An 18,366-nucleotide genomic window follows, 5' to 3' on the forward strand; every position below is an offset into this window, starting at 1 on the left:
TCTCTTACTCATTCTTGAAGACTGGGCTCTGAGGTCACCTCCTCGTGGATGCCTTGCAGACTCAAGTTTAGTTTCTCACCTTCTGTGCTCCCATCGCACTCTGCAGGGGATACCTGTTATGCATATGTGTCAGCTGCGCTTCTGGTCTCCCATGACCTTATTATTTTTTTTTCTTTTTAGAGATGGGAGTCTTGCTATGTTGCTCAGGCTGGAGTGCAGTGACTATTCACAGGCCCAATAATGGCACACTACAGCCTGGGACTCCTGGGCTCAAGTAATCCTCCTGCCTCAGCCTCCTGAGTAGCTAGAACTATAGGTGTGTATCACCATGCCTGGCTCTCCCTCCCTCCCTCCCTCCCTCCCTTCCCTTCCCTTCCCTTCCCTTCCTTCCTTCTTTCCTTCCTTCCCTCCCTTCCTTCCTTCCTTCCTTCCTTCCTTCCTTCCTTCCTTCCTTCCTTCCTTCCCTCCCTCCTTCCTTCCTTCCTTCCTCTCTCTCCCCTCCCCTCCCCTCCCCTCCCCTTCCCTTCCCTTCCCTTCCCTTTCTTTTTGCAGGGTCTCTCTCTGTTGCCCAGGCTGGAGAGCAGTGATGTAATCATGGCTCACTGCAGCCTCTACTTCCAGGCTCAAGCAATCCTCCTGCCTCAGCCTCCCATGTGGATGAGACTACAGGCATGCACCACCACACCAGCTAATTAATTAATTTTTTTTTTTTGTAGAGACAGGGTTTTGCTATATTGCCCAGGCTTTCATCATCTTTTAACTTCATCCCCATAGCAGTCCCATGAGTGGTGCTAATAACTTACTCAGTCATGCAGCCAGGAAGTGACAGTAGAATTTTAACCTGGGCTCTACAGTGATGAGTTTCAGAGCAGTGTGGCCCTACTGTCCTTTGGCTGTCCTTACACTGTTACAACCATTGATGTCATTCATTGGCATTCTGTCTGACTGTGAGCTCCTTAATGGTGAGGGCAGTCAAGCACTGATCTTTTTCAGTAACTGGTACGTTGTATGAACTCACAAATGGTAATGATGATGAATGAATTTAATGAGGCACAAAATAAAAAGTGAATAATACATGGTCCTTTATTTCAAGAGGCTCACTGTCTTTCTTTCCCCTCTCTCCATCCCTCCTGTGCCCCTCCCTCCCTCACTTCCTTTTTCCTTTCTTTCCTTTTAATTTTTTTCCAGATAAAAGCTTTTAATAGGAACGTTACATGTTAAAATGGCATTTTAAAATTTTATTTTATTTATTTATTTGTTTTTAATTTTACTTTAAGTTCTGGGATACATATGCTGAACATGCAGATTTGTTACATAGGTATACATATGCCACGGTGGTTTGCTGCATCTATCAACTCATCATCTAGGTTTTAAGCTCCATATGCATTAGGTATTTGTCCTAATGCTCTCCCTCTCCTTTCCCCCTACCCCCCAACAGGCCCTGGTGCGTGATGTTCCCCTCCCTGTGTGGAAGTCATTGGCAAAGACTTCATGACTAAAACACCAAAAGCAACTGCAACAAAAGCCATAATTGACAAACGAGATCTTATTAAACTAAAGAGCTTCTGCTCAGTGAAAGAAACTATTATCAGAGTGAACAGTCAACCTACAGAATGGGAGAAAATTTTTGCAGTCAATCCATCTGACAAAGGCCTAATATCCAGAATCTACAAGGAACTTAAGCAAATTTACAAGAAAAAAACAAACAACCCCATCAAAAAGTGGGCGAAGGATATGAACAGACACTTCTCAAAAGAAGACATTTATGAGACCAACAAACATATGAAAAAAAGCTCATCATTGCTGGTCATTAGAGAAATGCAAATCAAAACCACAATGAGATACCATCTCATGCCAGTTATAATGGCGATTGTTGGCCGGGCGCGGTGCCTCATGCCTGTAATCCCAACACTTTGGGAGGCTGAGGTGGGTGGATCACAAGGTCAGGAGTTCAAGACCAGCCTGACCAAGATGGTGAAACCCTGTGTCTACTAAAAATACAAAAATTAGCAGGGCGCAGAGGCAGGCACCTGTAATTCCAGCTACTCGGGAGGCTGAGGCAAGAGAATTGCTTGAACCTGGGCGGCAGAGGTTGCAATGAGCTGAGATCGCACCACTGCACTCCAGCCTGGGCGATAGAGTGAGACTCCATATTAAAAAAAAATGGCGATTATTAAAAAGTCTGGAAACAACAGATGCTGGAGAGGATGCGGAGAAATAGGAATGCTTTTACACTGTTGGTGGGAGTATAAATTAGTTCAACCATTGTGGAAGACAGTGTGGCAATTCCTCAAGGATCTAGAACCAGAAATACCATTTGACCCAGCAATCCTGTTACTGGGTATATACCCAAAGGATTATAAATCATTCTACTATAAAGACACATGCACACATATGTTTATTGCAGCACTATTTACAATAGCAAAGACTTGGAACCAACCCAAATGCCCAGCAATGATAGACTGGATAAAGAAAATGTGGCACATATACACCATGGAATACTATGGAGCTATAAAAAACAATGAGTTCACGTCCTTTGCAGGGACATGAATGAAGCTGAAAACCATCATCCTTAGCAAATTAACACAGGAACAGAAAACCAAACACCGCATGTTCTCACTTGTAAGAGGGAGCTGAACAATTTCCTTTCTTTCTTAACAGATTAGTTGCAAGGCCTTTTAAACAACCCTAGAAATATGTACTATTATCCCAATGTTATAGGTAGGAAAAATGAGGCAGAGAAAAGTTAAATAACATGGCCAAGGTCATAGCTGGGAAGTGGCACAGCCATGATTCAGACTGCAGTGGCCTGGTCCCAGAGCTCATGTTCTTAACCTCTACAGTATGTTATGTCTCCAGTAGCCTCATTGGGCAGAGGACACACATAGACTGATGCATAACAAGAGATAGATACAGACACCTGGAGAGACCTGGACAAGCAGCTTTGTGTGGTAGGAGAGAGTGCTGTGCAGTGTGGTTGGCTGAATAGCAAGCCCTAGTAGGGGAGGGATGGAGATGGATTAAAAACAAAATGAGGCAGCTCACACCTGTAATCCCAGCACCTTGGGAGGCTGAGGTGGGAGGATCATGTGAGGCCAGCAGTTCAAGACCAGTCTGGGCAACACATGAGACCCTATCTGTACAAAATACCAAAAAGAATTTTAAAAATCAGCCAGCTGTATTGGCACATACCTGTAGTCCCAGCTGCTCAGGAGGCTGAGGCAGGAGGATTGCTCAAACCCAGGAGGTTGAGGCTGCAGTGAGCCATGATTGCTCCACTGCACTCCAGCCTGGTGACAGAGGGAGATCCTGTCTCAAAAAAAAAAAAAAAAAAAAGCAAGTGGAAATCTAGATTGATGCCCACAGGAGCCCAGAGCTCACCCACAACCACCTTTTCCTGCTCTATAGAAGGGGCTCTGGCTGGATTCCTGGTGTGGAGAGGTTTCATGTGTGTGTCGGGGACATCTTGGGTGTTCATGGAGTGGCAAGAGCAGTCCTCGGCATCCTGCCATTCTTTTTCTTATTCCAGCTCAACTTGCCATCTGCGTACCTCTGTGAGAGGCTCTGTGAATCACAGGATCTCGTGAGTCACTCATTCCCTCTCTGAGGAATAAATTATATCAAGTCTCACAAAAGCAGAGCAGTTGGGTTTAAATGAGGTGTCACACAAAGATGGACTGCAGGTTCTGCTTTCCCTTATGAGCTGGCACGGCTGTTGGGTGAGGCACGTTGCCAGTTCTCAGCCTGAGCTTTTGGGCCATCAACCCAGAGTTCTGGCTGCTTCAGCTTCATCTAGATTTGATGTTCAGAATGCCAGACTCAGCAAGAGGTGAAACAGGCCCCAATGATCATAATTTTGACCCAAATGGGGAAAGGCTGAAGAATGAAGATGAGAGAATATTGATTTGCTTGTGTCTCCAGTCTGCATTGCGTCAGGCCTATCCTTTGTTATCATTTTTTTTTTTTTTTGAGATGGAGTCTCACTCTGTCGCCCAGGCTGGAGTGCAGTGGCACAATCTTGGCTCACTGCAACCTCCGCCTCCTGGGTTCAAGTGATTCTCCAGTCCTATCCTCCAGAGTAGCTGGGGCTACAGGCGTGCACCACCACACCCGGCTAATTTTTGTATTTTTAGTAGAGACGGAGGTTTCACCATATTGGCCAGGCTGGTCTTGAACTCCTGACCTCAGGTGATCCACCTGCCTCGGCCTCCCAGAGGCTATCCTTTATTTAACTCACAACTGCTCACAATAGACATCCTGAAAGTAAATTTACTACTTTAATGTTCCAAAACTGCTTTCCGTAGTCCATGATACGCAAAGCCTTTGAATGCAAAAAACAGAATGTTCCTGGTGTAGCAGAGAGAATATGTGGTTAAGCAGAGGACAGTGATATCTTACGGCAAATGTGTTGACCCCATGACAAGTGTGCATTGTCAGCTTTGTGTCCTAGTATCTGTACTGAGCCTCTCTTTAGATAGCAAGCTTCTCACCTGGCTATGGTGAGGGTGGGAGAAAAGCAATTTGATTTGCTGGTGAAAATGACTCACAGCAAGATGTAAATGCGAACCACAGATTTAGCTCCTTGCAGGGCATAATTCCATTTTAGATGAGAGGCTTAGTAATCAAAACCTAATAAGCTTAGTAATCAAGATCTTGATAGAGTGTTGGGGGAAGACTCGCTTTCACAGAGGAATTTTTGAGAATCCCTGTGTTACCCTAGTCAGCCCACTTTTTCTGATTCACTTGTCTGAGCATTAGGGAAACAAGCTTCAGTATCCTGGCAGTCCACTTGGGGAGGGGCCTAAGCTGTAACTGCTCCAGGCAGTTCAATTCCAGCTTCCCACTTGATAGTGCCTCTCAGGGCATCTTTGCACTGTGTCCACCCTATACCCTCTGACAGGCACCTACATGCTCTGCCATGGCAAGTTTATGACTTTTCTTTGGGTCCCATTGAAGATATCCCTAAAGCCTAGGAATTTAAGCAGGGACCCAGACTACCTGGGCTCAGTTATAGCCCCACTCCATATCTTTATATAAATAATTGCTTGGCACAGTGCCTGGCACATAGGGAGTGTTGTTTAAGTGTTCATAACCATTTCCTCCAGGGAAACTCTCCCTCCCTGGTCCCTGAGGCAGGAATCTCTCCTGTGTGCTGTATTTTGATGACCTCTTTACTCGCCTCTATTCTAGGATGTGAGATACCTGAAGGCAGGGGCTGTCTTTCTTACCTTCAATTCTGTGACTAGAAAACCATATTGAGATTTTAATTTGAGTTACATACTCTTTCAGCAGTCTGAACAAATGGTAAGGATTCTCTCTTCCCCATTCCAAGAAAGTCACCAAGTGTCCTTAATTTCAGGATTAATGACTTTGGCACTATAGGGATAAACAAAGAGTTCAGGGATAAAGCATGAAACAGGCATCTGGAATATCACCCCTATATAGAATTTTGTTGTAAAAAAGAAGCCCCAACCAAGAGAGGAAGTGGGCCAACCCTGGAGGGAAGATTCTGAAAGCTTTTCAAAAGACTGGGAGCGGGACAGAGGTGTTCAGGTCCTGTGGTACTGGAGACCAGCACTTCCCTCCCACAGCTAGTCTGTGGCAGGACCTCATGGCAGAAAAGCTGCATGGTCCCCTGAGAGAGAAGGTTCACCAAGTCTTTAATTTCCCAGCCGCCAAAAGATCTGGGACTGGGCCACTGCTTTCAAGGGACCACGTGGATTTTGACACTGAATACCTCAACCAGTTCAGTGTGACCAGAAGAGATCAGAGGATCTTCTAGAATGTTCTAGATTGTGCCAGATCCCTTCACTTGACCCTAGGAAAAAGGGTTCCTGCCCCCCATCCCCACCAAATTCTTGAGATTGAACTTCCTGAGTGAAAGGGGACTCTGAACAAATGTAACTTTATTTAGAGACACAAAAGTACATGGCCTTTTGGAAACCCTAGTGAAGTGAACTAAAATTCACATCTATAGCATGTCCACAGTCCTGGCTAAGGCAGGTCATGTAGAATATTTGGTGAGTAAGTAAATAATGGAAGTACCTGAAATCTCTCCAGTCTATTTTAATAATCCCATAGCAACATTTTTTATTTACCTACCTTGAATAAAGGTTTTCCACGGCCATTTCCTGAGTCTTTAAAGCACATGCAAATGAATTGTCTTTGAACAAGGATTCAAAAGACTTTTATCACTGCAAGCTAGCAACACGCTGAATTTATATCTCCCCAGTATTACATTGTTGGTTGCTAATGTGACTAAGCCTTGCTACTTTACACTTTGTCTATGAATAGATTGAAGTCTCCAATGAGAACTTGCATCCCAAAGCCCCACCTAAAACGATAAAGCCTCAAAGGCAAAAACCCAAAATCTTACTTCTTATATTGGTATCCATGTCACAAAGCTGCCTTGTGTCTACAATTCCTAATCCTTGCTCAGAATTTAAGTTAGTTGGGCTATTATTTTTTTCTAGTCTCAATTACTTGTGGTTATTCATACAGGGATCACCTAAATGAATTAAATCTAGAGATAATTGAACAACATTCCTTTAGTCCTTAGTTTCTGCTCATTCTCCCCTCTAGTCTTCAGCTGTTTTTTCTAGGCTGCTATACCAGCTGCAGATTCAATTTATTATCTTTTATTATCTTTCCGCCCCCCACCAGAATCCTCAAGAATTCACCCTTGACTTCTTTCAGTGTTCTTTTATCTAGGTTTTGTTGTGTTTGTTTTGTTTCTGCTTTCAATAGATTTTTGTTTTAGAGAAGTCTTAGGTTCACAGAAAAATCTAACAGAAGGTACAGAGATATCCCATAATACCCTGCCCTAAAACATGCATAGCCTTCTGCATTATCGACATACCTCACCAGACCAGTACACTTGTGACAACTGATGGAACTACACTGGACCTACACTGTCACATTTTTGCCCAGAGTCCATATTCTACATTAGAGTTCACTCACAGTGTTGTACTTCTATGGTTTTGGAAAAATGTATGACATGTATCCACCATTGTAGAATCATACAGAGTAGTTTCACTGCCCTAAAAATCCCCTGTGCTCTCCCTATTTGTCCCTCCTTCCCCCCAACCCCTGGAAACCACTGATCTTTTTACTGTAGCCTTTTCCAGAATGTCATATAGTTGGAACTGTACAGTATGTAGCCTTTTGAGATTGACTTCTTTCATTTGCTAATATGCATTTAAATTTCCTCCGTGTCTTTTCATGGCTTGATAGTGCCGATGGTGCTTTTTCATTTCTTCTTAGTGCTGAATAATGTTCTCTTTTCTGGTTGGACCACAGTTTATTTATCCATCCACCTATTGAAGGACATCTTGGTTTCTTCCAGGTTTTGGCAATTATAAATTAAACTGCTATAAACATCCATGTGCAGGTTTTTGTGTGAACATAAGTTTTCCTTTTTTGGGTAAATGCCAAGGAGCATGATTGCTGAATCAAATGATAAGAGTGTCTTCAGCTTCCTAAAAAATCTCCATACTATTTTCCAAAGTGGCTGTACCACTGTGCATTTTCACCAGCAATGAATGAGACGTTCTGTGGCTCCACATCCTCACCAGCATTTGGGGATGTCAGTGTTCTAGATTTTGGCCATTCTAATAGGTGTGTAGTGATAGCTCATTTGTTCTTTTGATTTGCAGTTCCTTGAAAGCATATGAGGTTGAGCATCTTTATATATACATACATACATATATATATATATATACACACACACACACAAAGATTTGTATATCTATATATTTATATAGATATATAAAGATGCCATCTATGTATCATCTTTGGTGAGGTATCTGTTAGGGTCTTTAGTCCATTTTTTAATTGGGTTGTTTTCTTCTTGTTAAGTTTTAAGAGTTCTTTGTATATTTTTAGTCTTTCATCAGATTGTCTTGCAAATATTTTCTCCCAGTTTGTGGCTTGTCTTTTCATTTCATTTTATTTTATTTTTTTATTATTATTATACTTTAAGTTTTAGGGTACATGTGCACAATGTGCAGGTTAGTTACATATGTATACATGTGCCATGTTGGTGTGCTGCACCCACTAACTCGTCATCTAGCATTAGGTATATCTCCCAATGCTATCCCTCCCCCCTCCCCCCACCCCACAACAGTCCCCAGAGTGTGATGTTCCCCTTCCTGTGTCCATGTGTTCTCATTGTTCAATTCCCACCTACAAGTGAGAATATGCGGTGTTTGGTTTTTTGATCTTGCTGTAGTTTACTGAGAATGATGATTTCCAACTTCATCCATGTCCCTACAAAGGACATGAACTCATCATTTTTTATGGCTGCAGAGTATTCCATGGTGTATATGTGCCACATTTTCTTAATCCAGTCTATCATTGTTGGACATTTGGGTTGATTCCAAGTCTTTGCTATTGTGAATAATGCCGCAATAAACATACGTGTGCATGTGTCTTTATAGGAGCATGATTTATAGTCCTTTGGGTATCTACCCAGTAATGGGACGGCTGGGTCAAATGGTATTTCTAGTTCTAGATCCCTGAGGAATCGCCACACTGACTTCCACAATGGTTGAACTAGTTTACAGTCCCACCAACAGTGTAAAAGTGTTCCTATTTCTCCACATCCTCTCCAGCCCCTGTTGTTTCCTGACTTTTTAATGATAGCCATTCTAACTGGTGTGAGATGGTATCTCATTGTGGTTTTGATTTGCATTTCTCTGATGGTCAGTGATGGTGAGCATTTTTTCATGTGTTTTTTGGCTGCATAAATGTCTTCTTTTGAGAAGTGTCTGTTCATGTCCTTTGCCCACTTTTTGATGTGGTTGTTTGTTTTTTTCTTGTAAATTTGTTTGAGTTCATTGTAGATTCTGGATATTAGCCCTTTGTTAGGTGAGTAGGTTGCGAAAATTTTCTCCCATTTTGTAGGTTGCCTGTTCACTCTGATGGTAGTTTCTTTTGCTGTGCAGAAGCTCTTTAGTTTAATTAGATCCCATTTGTCAATTTTGGCTTTTGTTGCCATTGCTTTTGGTGTTTTAGACATGAAGTCCTTGCCCATGCCTATGTCCTGAATGGTATTGCCTAGGTTTTCTTCTAGGGTTTTTATGGTTTTAGGTCTAACGTTTAAGTCTTTAATCCATCTTGAATTGATTTTTGTATAAGGTGTAAGGAAGGGATCCAGTTTCAGCTTTCTACATATGGCTAGCCAGTTTTCCCAGCACCATTTATTAAATAGGGAATCCTTTCCCCATTGCTTGTTTTTGTCAGGTTTGTCAAAGATCAGATAGTTGTAGATATGTGGCATTATTTCTGAGGGCTCTGTTCTGTTCCATTGATCTATGTCTCTGTTTTGGTTACTGTAGCCTTGTAGTATAGTTTGAAGTCAGGTAGCGTGATGCCTCCAGCTTTGTTCTTTTGGCTTAGGATTGACTTGGCGATGCAGGCTCTTTTTTGGTTCCATATGAACTTTAAAGTGGTTTTTTCCAATTCTGTGAAGAAAGTCATTGGTAGCTTGATGGGGATGGCATTGACTCTGTAAATTACCTTGGGCAGTATGGCCATTTTCACGATATTGATTCTTCCTACCCATGAGCATGGAGTGTTCTTCCATTTGTTTGTATCCTCTTTTGTTTCCTTGAGCAGTGGTTTGTGGTACTCCTTGAAGAGATCCTTCACGTCCCTTGTAAGGTGGATTCTTGGATTCTTAGGTACTTTATTCTCTTTGAAGCAATTGTGAATGGGAGTTCACTCATGATTTGGCTCTCTGTTTGTCTGTTATTGGTGTATAAGAATGCTTGTGATTTTTGTACATTGATTTTGTATCCTGAGACTTTGCTGAATTTGCTTATCAGCTTAAGGAGATTTTGGGCTGAGACAGTGGGGTTTTCTATATATACAATCATGTTGTCTGCAAACAGGGACAATTTGACTTCCTCTTTTCCTAATTGAATACCCTTTATTTCCTTCTCCTGCCTGATTGCCCTGGCCAGAACTTCCAACACTATGTTAAATAGGAGTGGTGAGAGAGGGTATCCTTGTCTTGTGCCAGTTTTCAAAGGGAATGCTTCCAGTTTTTGCCCATTCAGTATGATATGGGCTGTGGGATTGTCATAGACAGCTCTTATTATTTTGAGATACGTCCCATCAATACCTAATTTATTGAGAGTTTTTTAGCATGAAGCGTTGTTGAATTTTGTCAAAGGCCTTTTCTGCATCTATTGAGATAATCACGTGGTTTTTGTCTTTGGTTCTGTTTATATGCTGGATTACATTTATTGATTTGCGTATATTGAACCAGCCTTGCATCCCAGGGATGAAGCCCACTTGATCATGGTGGATAAGCTTTTTGATGTGCTGCTGATTTTGGTTTGCCAGTATTTTATTGAGGATTTTTGCATCAATGTTCATCAGGGATATTGGTCTAAAATTCTCTTTTTTGGTTGTATCTGCCTGGCTTTGGTATCAGGATGATGCTGGCCTCATAAAAGGAGTTAGGGAGGATTCCCTCTTTTTCTATTGATTGGAATAGTTTCAGAAGGAATGGTACCAGTTCCTCCTTGTACCTCTGGTAGAATTTGGCTGTGAATCCATCTGGTCCTGGACTCTTTTTGGTTGGTGAGCTATTGATTATTGCCACAATCTCAGCTCCTGTTATTGGTTTATTCAGAGATTCAACTTCTTCCTGGTTTAGTCTTGGGAGAGTGTATGTGTCGAGGAATTTATCCATTTCTTCTAGATTTTCTAGTTTATTTGCGTAGAGGTGTTTGTAGTATTCTCTGATGGTAGTTTGTATTTCTGTGGGATCGGTGGTGATATCCCCTTTATCATTTTTTATTGCATCTAATTGATTCTTCTCTCTTTTCTTCTTTATTAGTCTTGCTAGCGGTCTATCAATTTTGTTGATCCTTTCAAAAAACCAGCTCCTGGATTCATTAATTTTTTGAACGGTTTTTTGTGTCTCTATTTCCTTCAGTTCTGCTCTGATTTTAGTTATTTCTTGCCTTCTGCTAGCTTTTGAATGTGTTTGCTCTCGCTTTTCTAGTTCTTTTAATTGTGATGTTAGGGTGTCAATTTTGGATCTTTCCTACTTTCTCTTGTGGGCATTTAGAGCTATAAATTTCCCTCTACACACTGCTTTGAATGCATCCCAGAGATTCTGGTATGTTGTGTCTTTGTTCTCATTGATTTCAAAGAACATCTTTATTTCTGCCTTCATTTCGTTATGTACCCAGTAGTCATTCAGGAGCAGGTTGTTCAGTTTCCATGTAGTTGAGTGGTTTTGAGTGAGATTCTTAATCCTGAGTTCTAGTTTGATGGCACTGTGGTCTGAGAGATAGTTTGTTATAATTTCTGTTCTTTTACATTTGCTGAGGTAAGCTTTACTTCCAAGTATGTGGTCTATTTTGGAATAGATGTGGTGTGGTGCTGAAAAAAATGTATATTCTGTTGATTTGGGGTGGAGAGTTCTGTAGATGTCTATTAGGTCTGCTTGGTGCAGAGCTGAGTTCAATTCCTGGGTATCCTTGTTGACTTTCTGTCTCATTGATCTGTCTAATGTTGACAGTGCAGTGTTAAAGTCTCCCGTTATTATTGTGTGGGAGTCTAAGTCTCTTTGTAGGTTACTCAGGACTTGCTTTATGAATCTGGGTGCTCCTGTATTGGGTGCATATCTATTTAGGATAGTTAGCTCTTCTTGTTGAATTGATCCCTTTACCATTATGTAATGGCCTTTGTCTCTTTTGATCTTTGTTGGTTTAAAGTCTGTTTTATCAGAGACTAGGATTGCAACTGCTGCCTTTTTTTGTTTTCCATTTGCTTGGTAGATCTTCCTCCATCCTTTTATTTTGAGCCTATGTGTGTCTCTGCATGTGAGATGGGTTTCCTGAATACAGCACACTGATGGGTCTTGACTCTTTATCCAATTTGCCAATCTGTGTCTTTTAATTGGAGCATTTAGTCTATTTACATTTAAAGTTAATATTGTTATGTGTGAATTTGATCCTGTCATTATGATGTTAGCTGGTTATTTTGCACATTAGTTGATGCAGTTTCTTCCTAGTCTCAATGGTCTTTACATTTTGGCATGATTTTGCAGTGGCTGGTACCGGTTGTTCCTTTCCATGTTTAGCGCTTCCTTCAGGAGCTCTTTTAGGGCAGGCCTGGTGGTGACAAAATCTCTCAGCATTTGCTTCTCTGTAAAGTATTTTATTTCTCCTTCACTTATGAAGCTTAGTTTGGCTGGATATGAAATTCTGGGTTGAAAATTCTTGTCTTTAAGAATGTTGAATATTGGCCCCCACTCTCTTCTGGCTTGTAGAGTTTCTGCTGAGAGATCTGCTGTTAGTCTGATGGGCTTCCCTTTGTGGGTAAGCCGACCTTTCTCTCTGGCTGCTCTTAACATTTTTTCCTTCATTTCAACTTTGGTGAATCTGACAGTTGTGTCTTGGAGTTGCTCTTCTCGAGGAGTATCTTTGTGGTGTTCTCTGCATTTCCTGAATCTGAATGTTGGCCTGCCTTGCTATATTGGGGAAGTTCTCCTGGATAATATCCTGCAGAGTGTTTTCCAACTTGGTTCCATTCTCCCCATCACTTTCAGGTACACCAATCAGACGTAGATTTGGTCTTTTCACATAGTCCCATATTTCTTGGAGGCTTTGCTCATTTCTTTTTATTGTTTTTTCTCTAAACTTCCCTTCTCGCTTCATTTCATTCACTTCATCTTCCATCACTGATACCCTTTCTTCCAGTTGATCGCATTGGCTCCTGAAGCTTCTGCATTCTTCACGTAGTTCTCAAGCCTTGGTTTTCAGCTCCATCAGCTCTTTTAAGCACTTCTCTGTATTGGTTATTCTAGTTATACATTCTTCTAAATTTTTTTCAAAGTTTTCAACTTCTTTGCCTTTGGTTTGAATTTCCTCCCGTAGCTCGGAGTAATTTGATCGTCTGAAGCCTTCTTCTCTCAGCTCGTCAAAGTCATTCTCCATCCAGCTTTGTTCCGTTGCTGGTGAGGAACTGCGTTCCTTTGGAGGAGGAGAGGCACTCTGCTTTTTAGAGTTTCCAGTTTTTCTGCTCTGTTTTTTCCCCATCTTTGTGGATTTATCTACTTTTGGTCTTTGATGATGGTGATGTACAGATGGGTTTTTGGTGTGGATGTCCTTTCTGTTTGTTAGTTTTCCTTCTAACAGACAGGACCCTCAGCTGCAGGTCTGTTGGAGTACCCGGCCGTGTGAGGTGTCAGTCTGCCCCTACTAGGGGGTGCCTCCCAGTTAGGCTGCTTGGGGGTCAGGGGTCAGGGACCCACTGAGGAGGCAGTCTGCCCGTTCTCAGATCTCCAGCTGCGTGCTGGGAGAACCACTGCTCTCTTCAAAGCTGTCAGGCAGGGACATTTAAGTCTGCAGAGGTTACTGCTGTCTTTTTGTTTGTCTGTGCCCTGCCCCGGGAAGTGGAGCCTACAGAGGCAGGCAGGCCTCCTTGAGCTGTGGTGGGCTCCACCCAGTTCTAGCTTCCTGGCTGCTTTGTTTACCTAAGCAAGCCTGGGCAATGGCGGGCACCCCTCCCCCAGCCTCACTGCCGCCTTGCAGTTTGATCTCAGACTACTGTGCTAGCAATCAGCGAGACTCTGTGGGCGTAGGACCCTCTGAGCCAGGTGTGGGATATAATCTCCTGGTGTGCCGTTTTTTAAGCCCGTTGGAAAAGCGCAGTATTAGGGTGGGAGTGACCCGATTTTCCAGGTGCCGTGTGTCACCCCTTTCTTTGACTAGGAAAGGGAACTCCCTGACCCCTTGCACTTCCCGAGTGAGGCAATGCCTCGCCCTGCTTCGGCTTGTGCACGGTGCGTGCACCCACTGACCTGCGCCCACTGTCTGGCACTCCCTAGTGAGATGAACCCGGTACCTCAGATGGAAATGCAGAAATCACCGGTCTTCTGCGTTGCTCACGCTGGGAGCTGTAGACCGGAGCTCTCATTTTCTTGACAGTGCCTTTTTTTTTTTTTCTGAGACAGAGTCTCGCTCTGTCTCCCAGGCTGGAGTGCAGTGGCGCGATCTCGGCTCACTGCAAGCTCCGCCTCCCGGGTTCACGCCATTCTCCTGCCTCAGCCTCCAGAGTAGCTGGGACTACAGGAGCCCACCACCGCACCCAGCTAAATTTTTGTATTTTTAGTAGAGACGGGGTTTCACCGTGTTAGCCAGGATGGTCTTGATCTCCTGACCTCGTGATCCACCCGCCTCGGCCTCCCAAAGTGCTGGGATTACAGGCGTGAGCCTTCGTGCCCAGCCTTGACAGTGTCTTTTGCAGAATAGGTTGGTTTTTTTTTTTTTTTTTCAGATGGAGTCTTGCTCTGTCGCCAGGCTGGAGTGCAGCGGCACAATCTCTGCTCACTGCAACCTCCGACTTCCTGGTGCAAGCCATTCTCCTGCCTCAGCCTCCCGAGTAGCTGGGATTACAGGCACGCCTCACCAGGCCCAGCTAATGTTTTTGTATTTTTTAGTAGAGATGGGGTTTCACCATGTTTGGCCAGAGTGGTCTCCATCTCCTGACCTCGTGATCCATCTGCCTCAGCCTCCCAAAGTGCTGGGATTTGGCATGAGCTACTGTGCCAGGGCAGCCTTTTTTTTTTTTTTTTTTTTTTTTTTTTTTTTTTAAGGGTAAGGTCTTGCTCTGTCACCCAGCCTGGAGTACAGTGGTGCGATTATAGCTCACTGTAGCATCAAATCCCTGGGCTCAAGAGATCCTAACCACCTGGGCCTTCCAAAGCACTAGGATTACAGGCAGGCATGAGTCACTGTGCCTGGCTTTGACATTTTAAATTTTAATGAAGTTTGATTTATCAATTTTTCATAGTTCATAGCTTTGGTGTTGTAGATTTATTTTCTTTACCTTGTAACTATCCGAAGCGTATTTAAAAGACAGGTAATAACTGGAAAAGTAGGAACAAGCTAAACAACACCATGATTAAGCAATCAGGCAAATCCTGAAGGTGAGATATTCCACTGGACAACTGTCCTGGACTCTTAGCAAATCAGCATCATAGAAACAGTGAATTTATAGAGTAAAACCAATTTAAGTGACCCAACCATCAGATGTATTATAACATGTGGTCCTAGATTAGATTCCAGTTTATGTAGATTTAAATAGCTATAAAAATGATTTTGGGAAACGTTATGGAAATTGGAATATGGCTTGGGTCATAAATGATATTAAAACTCATTAAGATTATTATTATGGCTCATTAGGCTTGATAGTTTTGATTTTGGTTATGGAGGCTGTCCTTATTTTTTAGAGCTGCATACTAAAGTATTTAGGGATGAAATGTCATGTCTGTAGTTTACAGTATTTCAGCATAAAAAAATAAAGCGAATGTAAAGGAACAAAATCTGAAAGAACAGAATTATTTCACACGTCAGATCCTGATTGGCTGACCCAACCAACACAAAGCCTGCTTTACTACAGTATATGAGTACAGAGAACACTTGGGTGGGGAAAGGGCATGAAATCCGGATTATGTCTTTCCCTTTTTTAGCTATGTGATCATGGCAAAGTACTTCTCTTGTCTGTGCCTCAGTTTCTTCAACCATAAGATAGGTATATTAGTTGTATTCATCCATTTTCATGCTGCTGTTAAGGATATACCTGAGACTGGGTAATTAATAAAGAAAAAGAGATTTAATGGATTCACAGTTCCACATGGCTGGAGAGGCCACATAATCATGGTGGAGGGTGAAAGGCACATCTTACATGGCAGTAGACCAGAGGGAACTTGTGTAGGGAAACTCCCCCTAATAAAACCATCAGATCTTTCGAGACTTATTCACTACTATGAGAACAGTATGGGGGAAACCACCACCATGATTCAATTATGTCCGACCCAGTCCCTTCCACAATATGTAGGAATTATGGGAGCTACAATTGAAGATGAGATTTGGGTGGGGACACAGCCAAATCATATCCTTAGTAGACCTACCCCACAAGATGATTGTGAGGATAAGTGACTTAATATACGCAAGGCCATTAAATCAGTTCCTGGCACATAGTAATACATAAGACTTACCTATTATCATTGTTTTTGTTTTAGTTATTCAGGTACATGATCCTAGCAGGGTTGGCATAAACTGATACAATCAGTGCAGCTTCTTGGGTTTTCTGGTACATTGCTAGTAGCCATGGGAACTCCATATTTTTGGGGACTCATTTTTGAGTTTTCTCTTACACTACATTGGGAACTGTTCCACTCCATGTTTTAGGGGCTGGTGAAGAGTGGTAAGACATAAAAACATCTGCTCTTATTGGTTGTAATGGGGCTTTTGGCTTAGTGCTCCAACAAAAACCTAAAGTTTTAAGTGTAATTAAATAATAGGTAATTGAAGATACCCCTAGATCTAGAATATTCTGGCAGAAGATTTAACATTTTCATTAGGAATACTGGTCTAGAATCTATCTTTTCTTTTAAAAAATTAACAAACACAATATAAGATGCCTTTATAAATATATTCCTTCAAGCAAATCTGACACTCGATGATTTAGGACTAAAATTTATCTTTGTCACCAACAAAATAGAAACAGGGTAAATATGATTTTATAACTGTGTCTTAGGTTTTTAGTTGGAGAAATGCTGTACTTTAATTAAGATTACAAATGACTTTTGGTGCTCCATGTCATTTTTCAATGTTAGATTTTTAGTACAGATTAATAATATTTTTTCTATTCCTTTCTTTCCCTTATATAAACACAGGGAGTTCTTTGATCTCTAGAAGTTGCAAGGACTTTTTGGCCTGTTACAACAGCACATTTATTATTGATTGATTTTAGAGTGAATTGAAATTTTCAAGATTAGATGGGTGTGTATTAGAGCAAATTCTAAATGGCTGAGTTAAAGTTTACAGTCATAAAAAGTTATGAGAACCATTTATCTTATAAGGTCCGCAGTACCAAAATCACAGCTTCGGAAATTAGAATATTATCTGTTATGATGCTACTACAATATAATTTCTTTCTTTCTTTTTTTTTTGTGAGTCAGAGTTTTGCACTGTCACCCAGGCTGGAGTGCAGTGGTGTGATCTTGGCTTACTGCAACCCCTGCCTCCCGGGTTCAAGCGATTCTCCTGCCTCAGCCTCCCAAGTAGCTGGGATTACAGGCGTATACCACCATGCCTGGCTAATTTTTTGTATTTTTAGTAGAGATGGGGTTTCACTATGTTGGTCAGGCTGGTCTCGAACTCCTGACCTCATGATCCGCCAGCCTCAGCCTCCCAAAGTGTTCGGATTACAGGTGTGAGCCGCCGCGCCTGGTTTACATTTTAATTTTGTAAAAGCAAAACATTATTTAAAATAACATATAAATAATTTTTAAAATCTGACATTGAATGCCAAGTACTGTGCTAAAGTGCTTTACATGAAATATCTCTTCTACTTCTCACAACCACCCAGGGCCTGCTCATGCTTTCCTTTCTCTTGAGAGAACTGAAATGGACAGGACAAATGACTGGCTCAAGGTCACACTGCAGCTGTGGTAAGATGAGGCTGAAATTTAGAGTCAATGATGACATCTACATCCAGCCAATATTCACTGAGCATTTATTAGGCATCAGGCTCTGTTCTAGGTGTGGGGATAGTAATGTGAATAAAACGTCAAAATCGTTGCTCTGAATATTATGAAATACTGGCACACAGTTGAGGTTAGCAGTTAGAATTGGTAAATACTTTTTCTATGATTAGGCAGTGTTCTAGCCCCTCTACTTAGAAATGTAGCCCTATAAACTGATTTGTTTTTCCAGAAGAAACAAAGGTCTCAAAGCTGATCATAAGTCCCTGGAGAGTAGAAGTTTGGCTCTAAATCTGGACTCATCCAGAAAAAATAGCTAGTCCACATGGTGGCTCATGCCTGTGGTCCCAGCTACTGGGGAGTCTGAGACAGGAGGATTGCTTGAGCACAGGAGTTCGAGGTTGCAGTGATTGCACCACTGCCCTCCGGCCTGGTGACAGAGTAAGACCCTGTCTCTAATAAAAAACAAAAAACAAAACAAAACCCCCCCACACTCTCTTTGAAGCAACTATTTCCTTAAATCCTGCCCCCCGACCCACACACACACATTTCTTGATATCTTTTCGAAGCATCATTCATCCTAGGCAAACTTTATAAATGTGGGGCCATGCCTTTTACAATTCAGGATCACCAGGCCAGCTGGACTATTTTTTTTTGTTGTTGTTGTTATAGATATCTGCAACAATTGCCACACAAAGGAACACCACAGTGCATTTCCATAATAAAATAAACTGAATTTGCTAGTGGAGACTGTAGTTCATCAGGTAAGGTTTTTATTACTTTAGCAACCAAATTGCTGTCTTCCCTCAGTGAATGTCCTGACCTATTTGGGCAGTTCAGAGCAAGCACAC

General features: G+C 42.0%; 1 annotated feature.

Annotated features, from left to right (window-relative positions):
• Positions 13,523 to 14,022: an enhancer, noted in NCBI's record as "H3K4me1 hESC enhancer chr4:48925455-48925954 (GRCh37/hg19 assembly coordinates)". NCBI's record gives its function as "activates a minimal SCP1, AML or CMV promoter by ChIP-STARR-seq in primed H9 embryonic stem cells {active_cell/tissue: H9 hESC(primed)}" and the evidence as "EXISTENCE:reporter gene assay evidence [ECO:0000049][PMID:30033119]".

This window comes from Homo sapiens, chromosome 4, assembly GCF_000001405.40.
Source record: "Homo sapiens chromosome 4, GRCh38.p14 Primary Assembly".
NCBI lineage: Eukaryota > Metazoa > Chordata > Mammalia > Primates > Hominidae > Homo > Homo sapiens.